Here is a 14,493-nt window from a genome sequence, read left to right on the forward strand (position 1 = left end):
TAGGAATGTTGTCCTTTTTTGCTAAGAATATAGCCCTAGAATTAAAATTATCCAACTGAAAGGACCTCTAGAAATCACTAAATTCAATCTGTTTATTGGCCTAGAAAGATTAAGGGATTTGTTCAAATTACAAGCTAATTAATGGCATAGACAGGTCTATATTCCAAGTTTCCTGACTTTTCTACTAGGGCTGTGCTTTTCTACAAAATTGGACACAGTTATCAAAAGCTGGAACTTCCAAGTGCCAGAATTATAGAGGGAAAGATTGGGATGCTAGAACCTTCCCTTCTATAATGGGGACAAATTAAGATTGTTTGGGTATTCATTTTACTTCTGATTGTTTAATACTCTACATTAGCTAGTCTTGTGTTTAAATTCTATTCCCTGTCTCTTGGTCTCTTATTTTTGGATGCTTTCTTGTTCAAATTTTCCATACAGTCTGTAAATTGGGTCTGTCTTATACAATGCATCAGACTATCCTATTATGAATCAAACAAACCTCCTATCCTGTTATTTCTTACCAGTTTTTTTTTCTGAATGCCACACTTATTAGACAATCATCCTAGACCTGTTTCACAATCTCTTTTATAGTAAGGTACTGTTGGCTTTTAATGTTTTCTCCATAAGACAACATTTGTTTACTTCCTCAGTCTTTTTATCTGTGTGCCATAGTATCAGCATATACATCATTGTTAGTATAACCTCTTTACCAATTACTTGTTGAAATTTATATTTTTATATATTCAATTTTGTTTTTACTAGACTGAGCAATCTTGGCTAGATACTATATTTTGCTTATCTCTATACGTCTCAGACTCAGTTGATACTTAGTAAATATTTGTTAGATAAATAAATACCTGAGAGGCCGGGCATGGTGGCCCACACCTGTAATTCCAGCATTTTGGGAGACTGAGGCAGGAGAATGGCTTGAACATCACTTGAGCTCAGGAGTTCGAGACCAGCCTGGACAACATGGTGAGACCCTATCTCTACAAAAATAAAAAATAAAAATTAGCCTGGTATGGTGGCATGCATCTATGGTCCCAGCTACTTGGGAGGCTGAGGCAGGAGGATCACTTGAGCCCAGGAGGTCAAGTCTGTAGTGAGCCATGTTCATGCCACTGCATTCCAGCCTGGGTGACGGAGTGAGACCCTGTTTCAAAAAACAAATAAATACTTGAAGTCTTCAACTTTTTGTGTTTCCTGGTTAACATTTTACCTATTTTTTTCTTTCAGAATTTGGAGTTGTCTGCTTAATATTTTCTGCAACACTAGCTTATTTCCCACCCCGACCTCCTCTTCCTCCCAGTGTTGCTGCAGCTAGCCAGCGGCTGAGTTATCGGAGAAGCGTTTGTAGATTATTAAGGTAAATATACTGAGAGTCACTGGATGGCTTTGACTGACACCTTCAAGGTAACTTCAGATTTTTAAAAAATAATTTAAGATAGTAATTTTTCAGCAACCTATTAATTAGGTTGTAAGTAATTGATAAAATACTAATTGAATATTTTAGATTTCCTACCAGAAATCTATCTTGAAAAATCACCAAAAACAAAAACTTCTATAATTTTTGCCTTCTCTACATATCACCTATACTATTATTTGCTTAATGTTTTAAAAATCAAATATTTTATTTTTCTTAAATAATTTTCTTTTTTAAAGAATCCCATATCATACAATAGTGTCTGTGAAATCATGAATTCTATGTGTTATACTTTTCCTAATATGCACATTATTTTAACTTATTATGTATTTGTTAAGGCATATTAAAATAAGCAGGTGGTAGTCAATACAAAGTGAATAAAATAAATAATATTATTCACATATCACCTGAAATCATTTTCTGTACGAGCAGTAGGATCATACTTTAAGAAACCAAATATATTATTTAATTTTATTGGTATAACTTAGTATAGTTAGATTAAACTCTACTCTTGAAGGCTCAAATGCCCAGTACTGAATTTAATTCTTGGGATATATAAAATACCACTATTGATTATGATTTGCAGTTGGACCACTAGACTTTGTCATTTGAAATTTTTTCACAGGTAGTTGTTATGAGTTTTTATTGATTCTTCAACAACTCTCTCTAAATTGGTTCTTTCTTTTCTTGGGTTCCTCTCCCCAGATGGTAAGTTTCTTGTGGTCAAGAAGCAGTATCTATGTCTTTACATCTGCTGCAGTAATACTGTCCAGTAGGAATAAAATGCAAGCCACATAAGTAATCTTACATTTTCTGATAGTCTTCAATAAATTTTTATAAATCAAAATCATATCAAGTATCTTCTGTGACCACAGTGGAATAAAACTAGAAATCAACTCCAAAAGGAACCCTCAAAACTGTACAAACACACGGAAATTAAACAATCTGCTCCTGAATGATTTTTGGGTTAACAATGAAATCAAGATGAAAATTAAATTCTTTAACATGAACCGTAATAGTGATGTAAGTTATTAAAACTTCTGGGATACAGCAAAAGCAGCGCTAAGAGGAAAGTTTATAGCACTAAATGCCTATATCAAAAAGTCTGAAAGATTACAAATTGACAACCTAATGTCACACCTCAAGAAACTAGAGAAACAATAACAAACCAAAACCAAAGCCAGCAGAAAAAAAGAAAAAACAAAGATCAGAGCAGAACTAAATAAAATTGAAACAAAAAATACAAAAGATCAATAAAACAAAAAGTTGGCTATTTGAAAAGATAAACAAAATTGATACCCCATTAGCTAGATTAACCAAGAAAAGAAGATTCAGTTAAGCTCAATTAAAAATGAAAATGGAGACGTTACAGTCAATACCACAGAAATACAAAAGATCATTCAAGACTACTATGAACACCTCTATGGACACAAACTAGAAAATCTAGGGGAAATGGATAAACTTCTGGAAACATACAACCCTCCTAGATTAAATCAGGAAGAAATAGAAACCCTGAACAGACCAATAATGAGCCGTGAGATTGATTCAGTAACTTAAAAATTGCCAACCAAGAAAAGGTTATGGTCAGATTGGCCAGATGGATTCACAGTTGAATTCTACCGGACTTTCAAAGAAGAATTTATACCAATCCTACTGAAACTATTCCAAAAGATTGAGAAAGCAGGAATCCTCCCTAACTCATTTTATGAAGCCATCACCCTGATACCAAAACCAGATTGAGAAAGAGGGACTCCTCCCTAACTCATTCTATGAAGCCAGTGTCACCCTGATACCAAAACCGGAAAAAGACATAACAAAAAAGAAAACTACAGGCCAATAGCCTTGATGATCATAGATACAAAAATCCTTAATAAAAACACTAGCTTACTGAATCCAACAGCACATCAGAAAGATAATACACCATGATCAAGTGGGTTTCATACCAGAGATTGTTTAAAATACGCAAGTCAAATGTGATATATGACATAAACAGAATTAACAACAAAAACAGTATGATCATAATAGATGCAGAAAAGGCATTCAGTAGCATCTCTTTATGATAAAAAAAAAACCCTCAACAAACTAGGCATAGAAGGGACATACTTCAAAATAAAAGCTGTATATGACAAACCCACAGCCAACATCATACTGAATGGGAAAACTTGAAAGTATTTCCCCTGAGAACTGGAACAAGACAAGGATGCCCACATTCACCACTTCAGTTCGAAAGTACTAGAAGTCCTAGCCAGAACAGTCAGGCAACTGAAAGAAATAAAGGGCATCCAAATTGGAAAAAGAGGAAGTCAAATGATCACTGTTTGCCAATGATATGATCATATACCTAAAAAACCCTAAAGACTCTTCCAAAAGACTCCTAGATTTGATAAATGAATTCAGTAAACTCTCAGGTTACAAAATCAGTGTACACAAATCAGTAGCACTGCTCTACACCAACAACGAGAAAGGCAAGAATCAAATGAATAACTCAGTCCTCTTTACAATAGCTGCAAAAAAATTAAAATACCTAGGAATATTCTTAACCAAGAAGGTGAAATATCTCTACAATAACTACAAAACACTGCTGAAAGAAATCATAGATGCCCATTCAGTGTGATATTGGCTGTGGGTTTGTCGTAGATAGCTCTTACTATTTTGAGATACATTCCATCAATACCTAATTTATTGAGAGTTTTAGCATGAAGGGTTGTTGAATTTTGTCAAAGGCCTTTTCTGCATCTATTGAGATAATCATGTGGTTTTTGTCTTTGATTCTGTTTATATGCTGGATTACATTTATTGATTTGCATATGTTGAACCAGCCTTGCATCCCAGGGATGAAGCCCACTTGATCATGGTGGATAAGCTTTTTGATGTGCTGCTGGATTCGGTTTGCCAGTATTTTATTGAGGATTTTTGCATCGATGTTCATCAAGGATATTGGTCTAAAATTCTCTTTTTTGGTTGTGTCTCTGCCAGGTTTTGGTATCAGGATGATGCTGGCCTCATAAAATGAGTTAGGGAGGATTCCCTCTTTTTCTATTGATTGGAATAGTTTCAGAAGGAATGGTACCAGCTCCTCTTTGAACCTCTGGTAGAATTCGGCTGTGAATCCATCTGGTCCTAGGAGCATTCCCTTTGAAAATGGGCATGAGACAGGGATGCCCTCTCTCACCACTCCTATTCAACATAGTGTTGGAAGTTCTGGCCAGGGCAATCAGGCAGGAGAAGGAAATAAAGGGTATTCAATTAGGAAAAGAGGAAGTCAAATTGTGCCTGTTTGCAGATGGCATGATCGTATATCTAGAAAACCCCATCGTCTCAGCCCAAAATCTCCTCAAGCTGATAAGCGACTTCAGCAAAGTCTCAGGATACAAAATTAATGTACAAAAATCACAAGCATTCTTATACACCAATAGCAGACAAACAGAGCCAAATCATGAGTGAACTCCCATTCACAATTGCTTCAAAGAGAATAAAATACCTAGGAATCCAACTTACAAGGGATGTGAAGGACCTCTTCAAGGAGAGCTACAAACCACTGCTCAATGAAACAAAAGAGGATACAAATAAATGGAAGAACATTCCATGCTCATGGGTTGGAAGAATCAATATCGTGAAAATGGCCATGCTGCCCAAGGTAATTTATAGATTCAATGCCATCCCCATCAAGCTACCAATGACTTTCTTCACAGACTTGGAAAAAACTACTTTAAAGTTCATATGGAACCAAAAAAGAGCCCGCAATGCCCAGTCAATTCTAAGCCAAAAGAACAAAGCTGGAGGCATCATGTGACCTGACTTCAAACTATACTACAAGGCTACAGTAACCAAAACAGCATGGTACTGGTACCAAACAGAGATATAGACCAATGGAACAGAACAGAGCCCTCAGAAATAATGCCGCATATCTACAACTATCTGATCTTTGACAAACCTGACAAAAACAAGCAATGGGGACAGGATTCCCTATTTAATAAATGGTGCTGGGAAAACTGGCTAGCCATATGTAGAAAGCTGAAACTGGATCCCTTCCTTACACCTTATACAAAAATTAATTCAAGATGGATTAAAGACTTAAACGTTAGACCTAAAACCATAAAAACCCTAGAAGAAAACCTGGGCAATACCATTCAGGACATAGGCATGGGCAAGGACTTCATGTCTGAAACACCAAAAGCAATGGCAACAAAAGCCAAAATTGACAAATGGGATCTAATTAAACTAAAGAGCTTCTGCACAGCAAAAGAAACTACCATCAGAGTGAACAGGCAACCTACAGAATGGGAGAAAATTTTCACAACCTACTTATCTGACAAAGGGCTAATATCCAGAATCTACAATGAACTCAAACAAATTTACAAGAAAAAAACAACCCCATCAAAAAGTGGGCAAAGGATATGAACAGACACTTCTCAAAAGAAGACATTAATGCAGCCAAAAAACACATGAAAAAATGCTCATCATCACTGGCCATCAGAGAAATGCAAATCAAAACCACAATGAGATACCATCTCACACCAGTTAGAATGGCGATCATTAAAAAGTCAGGAAACAACAGGTGCTGGAGAGGATGTGGAGAAATAGGAACACTTTTACACTGTTGGTGGGACTGTAAACTAGTTCAACCATTGTGGAAGTCAGTGTGGTGATTCCTCAGGGATCTAGAACTAGAAATACCATTTGACCCAGCCATCGCATTACTGGGTATATACCCAAAGGATTATAAATCATGCTGCTATAAAGACATGCAAACGTATGTTTATGGTGGCAATATTCACAATAGCAAAGACTTGGAACCAACCTAAATATCCAACAACGATAGACTGGATTAAGAAAATATGGCACATATACACCATGGAATACTATGCAGCCATAAAAAATGATGAGTTCATGTCCTTTGTAGGGACATGGATGAAGCTGGAAACCATCATTCTCAGCAAACTGTCACAAGGACAAAAAACCAAACACCGCATGTTCTCACTCATAGGTGGGAATTGAACAATGAGAACACATGGACACAAGAAGGGGAACATCACACACCAGGGACTGTTGTGGGGTGGGGGGAGGGGGGAAGGATAGCATTAGGAGATATACCTAATGCTAAATGACGAGTTAATGGGTGCAGCACACCAACATGGCACATGTATACATATGTAACAAACCTGCAGATTGTGCACATGTACCCTAAAACTTAAAGTATAATAATAATAAAATAAAATAAAAAGAAATCATAGATGACACAAAAAAATGGAAACACATTCCATGTTCATGGATTGGAAGAATCAATATTGTGAAAATGACCATACTGCCCAAAGCAATCTACAGATTCAGTGCAGTTACTATCAAAATAGCAACATCATTTTTCATAGAATTAGAAAAAAAAATCCTAAAATTCATATGTAACCAAAAAAGAGTCCAAATAGCCAAAGCAATCCTAAGCAAAAGGAACAAATCTGGAGGCATCACATTACCTGACTTCAAATTATACTACAAGGGTATAGTTACTAAAACAGCATGGTACTGGTATAAAAGTAGTCAATGGGACAGTCCAATGGAACAGAATAGAGAAATCAGAAATGAAGCCAAATACATACAACCAACTAATCTTCAGCAAAGCATACAAAAACATAAATTGGAGAAAGGACACCCTATTTAATAAATAGTTCTGGGAAAACTGGCAAGCCACAAGTAGAAGAATGAAACTGGATCCCTATCTCTCACCTTATACAAAAATAAACTCAAGATGCATCAAAGACTTAAATATAAGATCTGAAACCATAAAAATTCTAGAAGATAATGTTGGAGAAACACTTCTGGACATTGGCCTAGGCAAAGAATTCATGACTAATACCCCAAAAGCAAATGCAACAAAAACAAAAATAAACGGGACCTAATTAAACAAAAAGTTTCTGTACAGCAAAAGAAGTAATCATCAGAGTAAACAAACAGCCCACAGAATGGGCGAAAATATTTGCAAACTCTGTATCTGACAGGAGACTAATATCTAGAATCTACAAAGGAACTCAAACAGATCAGCAAGAAAAAAAAAATCTCATCAAAAAGTGGGCAAATGTCATGACCAGGAGACATTTCTCAGAAGAAGACATACAAACACTAACAAACATAGGAAAAAATGCTCAACATCACTAATCATCAGGGAAATGCACATTAAAACCACAATTAGATACCACCTTACCCCTGCAAGAATAGCCATTATTAAAAAGTCAAAAAACAATAGATGTTGACATGGATGTGGTGAAAAGGGAATGCTTATACACTGCTGGTAGGAATGTGAGTTAGTACCACCTCTATGCAAAACAGTATGGAGATTCCTTAAAGAACTAAAAGGAGATCTACCATTCAACCCAGCAATCCCACTACTGGTGTCTACCCAAAGGAGAAAAGTCTTTATATGAAAAAGACGTATGCACATGCACATACATGTTTATACCAACACAATTTGCAATTCCAAAGATATGGAACCAACCTAAGTGCCCATTGACCAATGAGTAGGAAAATGAGTGTATATACACCATAGAATACTACTCAGCCGTAAAAAAAGAACAAAATAATGCTTTTACATCAACTTGTAGGGAGCTGGAAGCCGTTATTCTAAGTGAAGTAACTCAGGAATGCAAAATCAAACACTGTATGTTCTGACTTATAAGTGGGAGCTAAGCTTAGGGTAGGCAAAGACAGAGTGGTATAGTGGACTTTGGAGACTCAGAATGGAGAGGATGGTGGAGACTGAAGGGTAACAAACTCCATATTGGGTACACTGTACACTACTCAGGTGGCAGGTGCACCAAAGTCTCAGACTTCACCGCTATCCAATTCATCCTTGTAACCAAAAATCATTTGTACCCCAAAAGCTATTGAAATTTTTAAAAATTTGTTTTAATTTTTTGTATATTTGGGATAAAAATCTTTGAAAATTTTTAATAATCTTATTTTAACAGGAAAAATAAGTAAAATTAATTAGAAATAAGTAAAATTAATAAGTAAAATTAGTTCTAAGAAATGAGTAAAATCAATTTTAGTAGCATATTGTTTAACCAAGCATATCTAAAACATTATTTTAACATGTAATCAATATTAAAACTTATTAATGAGATATGTTATTCATAACATCTTTGATATTCAGTGGATATTTTGCACTTAAAGCACATGTCAATTTGGACATTAAATTTTTACTGGAAATACTTGATTTCCAGTAGAATTAAGTGGAATATTTCAGATATCACTAAATTTACCGTTGAAAAAGTATGCATTGAGCAATGTCTCTTGTATTGCACTGTTTATCCTAAGTTAAAAATAAATAATTAGTTTCTGAAATTTTGAATCAACAGATATTTGCTATCGTTAGAAAGGATCTTACATTCTATAGGCCATTGTTTGGGGCTTAATTGCAGATCTAACACTTCTGTAGAATACTATTTTTATTCTTTTCCTCGTAATTTTTAACAAATTTCCATAGCTAAAAACAATTCCTTTACCATCTCTTGATCTAAAATGCTTTTCTTTTTGTACAAGGATCCAAACAGTTTTATAGCTGGCCAAATTATTAGTTCAGATCTGTTAAAAATCATTTAAGTGTTCATTGGACATTTAATTCTGATTTCAGGCAACTAATTTTCTTGATTCTTTTTTGATCTGAAAAGAAACGTCTATAAAATTGACCATGTGTTTGCTAAAATGTCTTTTAATATTATTCACTTAATTATTCTAAACTTTTTTTCCACAGCAGACATTTTATTTTGCTCTGCTGTAGCAAATTGTAATTGCCGTTCATTGTGAAGTTTGCAACATGCCGTCTTCTCTTTTGGTCTCTTCTTTCTACAGGAAATATTCAAATACACAAATTACAATGTCACATGTCACATCAGTGTGTAGAAAAAAATAATTAGAACTGAATCCATTCATTGACGCCAATATCAGTGATGGATGATGATACTAGAGACAACACATGCCCCAGCATGCACACTATAATAATATCTTAGTGTTGCAGCTGTTAAAGTAAAATGTACTCCTACCAAACAGAGTTACGTTTAATGGAAAAGTAACTTTCACTGCTTCGCTTCAAATTTAGATTTAAATTAGTTAAAATGAAATAAAATTAAAAACTCAGTTCCTTGGTTGCACCAGCCACATTTCAAATGCTATGTAATATTGTTTTCCAAACTTTGGTTTACAGCCAACTAATTCAGTGAGGTGACAGCCATTTTCCTTAAGCAAAATAGAATGGAATAAAATAGAATAGAAAATATTATTTCATCACATGTAATAAGGATACCTTCTTTTAGACTTTTGTTTCAGTATATATGTTGCATATAGGTAGGTCACAAAGTAAAAATAAATTTCTTACTCTGGGTACAGTAAAAAGTTTTTGAAAATCACTTCTCTATAGCACGTCGTACATTGCCTTTCACATAATAGGTAAAAAAAATGTTAGGTTGAATTGTGATTAGTGGCACACATTTGTAAGATGACAGTTTAAAATGATCGTTTTTTAAAAACAATGCCACTTAAGTAAATTTTTTTCCATGCAAACCTAGCTGCAGATGTTAGATAGCAATAGAGAAAGGTAGAGAGGTAGATTGGGATCATATTATGACATACTAATAATTTTGGACTATTCTTTAGGAAATGAGTCACTGAAGGATGTTAAGCCAAGAAGTTATGTACAAGATTGCAGATGTTAGGCCGGGCGCGGTGGCTCACGCCTGTAATCCCAGCACTTTGGGAGGCCGAGGCGGGCGGATCACGAGGTCAGGAGATCGAGACCATCCTGGCTAACACGGTGAAACCCCGTCTCTACTAAAAATACAAAAAATTAACCGGGCTTGGTAGCGGGTGCCTGTAGTCCCAGCTACTCGGGAGGCTGAGGCAGGAGAATGGCGTGAACCCGGGAGGCGGAGCTTGCAGTGAGCCGAGATCGCGCCACTGCACTCCAGCCTGGGCGACAGAGCGAGACTCCGTCTCAAAAAAAAAAAAAAAAAAAAAAAAAAAGATTGCAGATGTTAGATAGCAATAGAGAAGGGTAGACAGGTAGATTGGGGTCATATTATGACGTACTAATAATTTTGGACTATTCTGTAGGAAATCGTGAGTCACTGAAGGATTTTAAGCCAAGAAGTTATGTACAGGATTGTTCTGACAAGGAAAAACAGTTAACTTAAAATTGTCCCCCCAACCCCTTTGACTTGTGTTTACTTCTAATTACCCTAGAGTCAAACTCTTCATTCTGTTTAAACCGTAAAGTGTAAGATCTTCCTTCTCTATAAAGAGTCCTTTTCACCAGTACCTAACATTCCTTTGTCTTTTATTGCTTACTCTGCATGAATGCCAGCTTCTACCTTTGGGCTCTCCAGGGGAGTTCTGTGGGCCTGCCATGCCCCATTCCCTTCCTACCAGTGTAATTACCCCCAGTCTCTCATAGAATTCCTGAAATCATTGCTTTCTGAGTTAATCAGATTATTTGCCAGCACGTAAACACATTTACTCATCTACTTTTTTTACGTTTATATTTCCTTCTCCCATTTCCCTCCCCCAACCCAGGCCACCTCTCAGATGCCTTTAATGTGTATCTCTTTGTCTCTGTGCTTTTGCAGTATGTGTACTGTTTTGTATGCATCTATGTTTAATTCATCTAAATTATGCCATATTGTGCATATCATTCTGTTTGACATTTTTCACTAAGCACTACATGGTTTATTTTTTTTTAACTTTTCATTTGGGAATGTTACAATAATATACAAAGGTAGAATAGTATAACCCCATAAGTCGGTATCAACAATTGTCAGTGAGTTTACAACCAGTCTCGTTTTATCTTTGTACCACCCACTTCCCACTTCCCACCTTCCTGCATCATGAAACAAATCCCAGATGACAACTCCATTTCATCCAGAAATATTTCAATATGTGCAATATATGTCAAAAATAGACTCTTTTTAACATATAGTGCCGTTATTTTAACTAAAAACTTTTAAATAATAATTTGCTAATATCAAATCAGTGTTTAAATTTTCAATTATCTCATAAACATTTAACAGTTTGTTTGAACAGTTTCCACATTAGGGCCACACATTGCAATTGGTCCAAAGTGCCTTAGAATCTATAGGTTTCCTTAACATGGCTCTTTGTTTCTTATAATTTAATTGTTGAGGAGCCAGCACTTTTATTCCCAACATCTGGATTTTGTTGATTTCCTCATTGTATAGTTTGACATGTTCCCCTCTCCTTTATGGTTCTTGTAAAGTATGTTGTGATTCAGGTTTTAGTTTTGCTTTTGTTTTTGTTTTACAAGACCGCTTCGTAAGTGATGCTGCTTCCTTTCATCAGGAGGCGTATAATATCTGGACAACTCTCATTTTGTGATGTTAGCACTCTGTTTCAAGATGCACCCCTGCTGCTGTGTGTACACCTAGTTCTTTGTACTCCATGGTATTAATCTATCACATTTCATCTACTCATTCTCATTGTGTACCCAGATTGCCTCCAATTTATTGTTACCATAAACACTACTGCAGTGACATCCTCATGCACGTCACCATAGACCTGAAAATTTCTTTGGAAAACAGACCCTGTAACATGATTGCTAGGTCATAAAATAGTCTAAGCTTAATTTGTCAAGTACTGCCAGATTGTAGTGATGTGATCATAGCACACAGTAACCACCTGCCTCAGCCTTGCAATTAACTGGGATTACAGGTGCACACCACTATACCTGGCTAATTTTTATATATTTTTTATAGAGGTGAGGTCTCACTATCTTGCTCAGGCTGATCTTGAACTCCTGGCCTCAAGTTATTCTCCTACCTTGGTCTCCCAAAGTGCTGAGATTACAGGCATGAGCCACCATACCTGGCCAGAGCTTTTTTTAAACTACCTACTCATTTGATGAAATAATATTGGTTATCTGTATAATAAACATTGAGAATTTTAAACAATATGAACAAAATATTATTCTTATAAAAATAAAAAATTTCAAGAAGCGAGCCAGGTGCAATGTCTCACGCCTGTAATCCCAGCACTTTGGGAGGCCAAGGTGGGTGGATCATCTGAGGTCAGGAGTTCGAGGCCAGCCTGGCCAACATGGCGAAACCCTATCTCTACTAAAAATACAAAAATTAGCTGGGTGTGCTGGCAGGTGCCTGTAATTCCAGCTCTTTGGGAGGCTGAGGCAGGAGAAGCACTTGAACCCGGGAAGCGGAGGTTGCAGTGAGCAGAGATCACACCATTGCACTCCATCCTGGGCTACAAGAGTGGAACTCCATCTTCAAAAAAAAAAAAAATTTCAAGAAGCTTGAATTTATTAACTGACAGATTTTTTTCTTTTATAAAGCTTGCCACTTTGAGCTTCTTGAAGAATATATATATATATATACCTGTACATACACATATTGTACATATATGTGTATATATAGTTATTCATATGTGTATATGTGTGTATATATACATATATATTTTTTAACTTTTAGGCTCAGGGTACGTGTGCAGATTTGTTACATGGGTAAATTCCATGTCATGGGGGTTTGGTGTACAGATTGTTTTGTCACCCAGATAATAAGCATAGTATCCAATAGGTAGTTTTTCTGTCCTCACCCTCCTCCCACCCTGCACCCTCAAGTTGGTCCCAGTGTCTGTTTTTCCCTTCTTTGTGTCCATATGTACTTGATGTTTAGCTCCCACTGATAAGTGAGAACATGTGGTATTTGCTTTTCTGTTCCTGTGTTAGTTTTCTTAGGATAATGGCCTCCTGCTCCATCCGTGTTGCTGCAAAGGTTGTGATCTTGTTCTTTTTTATGTCTGTGGAGTATTCCATAGTGTATTTGTACCACATTTTCTTTATCCAGTCTACCATTTATGGCCATTTAGGTTGATTCCACATCTTTGCTATTGTGAATAGTGCTGCAGTGAATACACTCGTGCATGTGTTTTTATAGTGGAGTGATTTACCCAATAATGGATTGCTGGGTCAAATGGTAATTCTCTTTTAAGTTCTTTTAGAAATTGCCAAACTGCCTTCCATGGTGGCTGAACCAATTTACACTTCAACCAGCAGTATATATGCGTTTCCTTTTCTCTGCTACCTTTCCAGCACGTTTTTTTTTTTTTTTTTTTTTGAGTTTTTAATGCCATTCTGCAGATATTTTCTGATTCTGGTGTTCCAGTTTCCAAATGACATACATTTTTCATGACTAAGTTTATTCTAGATTTTTAATTTGTTACAATGTTTCCTTTTATTTCTCATTCACAGCAATTTTCGATTTTTGATGATTGCTTTAGCATATGCCATACCACTTGGTGTATTTGCTGGCTGGTCTGGAGTTCTGGACTTAATTTTAACACCAGCGCATGTCAGCCAAGTAAGTATTTTATTTCTTTATATGTTGTAGGTATTTTTGTTCATTTAATTTATAAATACTGGTTACGTGTTCTTGGTTTTAGCTTCAAGGACTGGGTAAAACATCGTCCTATACCATTGTTGCAAAAGCAAGATCTTTATGGAATAGGTAAAAAATAATGTTGATTTTCCTCCTTGATTTTGACAATAGTTGTGAATTTCACATTTCTGTGGGCATTATTAATGATACTACTGGTTTTTTAAAAAAGGAAGGAAGTCTTAGTTTTGTTGACCCCATTCTTTATCCTTGCTTCGTACCTTATAAAGAAGATTAAGATCCCATCATCAAATATATAGCTATTTCTTCATCTAGTTTCTGACTTTCTCTCTGGGCTCCAAATAAGGGTATTTCATTTCTTTAAAAATAAACATTTCACCTATATGCTTGATGTCATCCATTCCTTCTCTTTGCTTCCAGATAGCATGGTAGAAAGGAGGAGAGAGAAATTTTGAGAGGTAAATAGAAGAGAACACACTGCTGTGATATTCTATTGTATGAGTAAAAAAAAAAAAATTTGTCTATTCTGCTTTTGGTGAACATTTGGATTGGATTGTTAACCAGTTTTGACAGCCACAAACAATGCTGTATTAACACTCTCTTACATGTCTCTATGCACCTCTATACACATTTCTACTGGATACATATCTAGGAATGGAACTGCTG

The 14,493-nt window shown here is 35.8% G+C and overlaps 1 protein-coding gene across 1 annotated transcript in view; it reads left to right on the forward strand.

Moving 5' to 3' along the window:
• The window catches only part of SLC49A4 (solute carrier family 49 member 4), an 86,071-nt gene that overhangs the window by 37,012 nt on the left and 34,566 nt on the right, over window positions 1-14,493 (forward strand). The window contains exons 4-5 of the mRNA NM_032839.3: window positions 1,237-1,366; window positions 13,683-13,791. Coding sequence (NP_116228.1) covers window positions 1,237-1,366; window positions 13,683-13,791 — 239 coding nt within the window. The remainder of the gene's footprint in view (window positions 1-1,236; window positions 1,367-13,682; window positions 13,792-14,493) is intronic.

This window comes from Homo sapiens, chromosome 3 (assembly GCF_000001405.40).
Source record: "Homo sapiens chromosome 3, GRCh38.p14 Primary Assembly".
NCBI classification, from domain to species: Eukaryota; Metazoa; Chordata; class Mammalia; order Primates; family Hominidae; genus Homo; species Homo sapiens.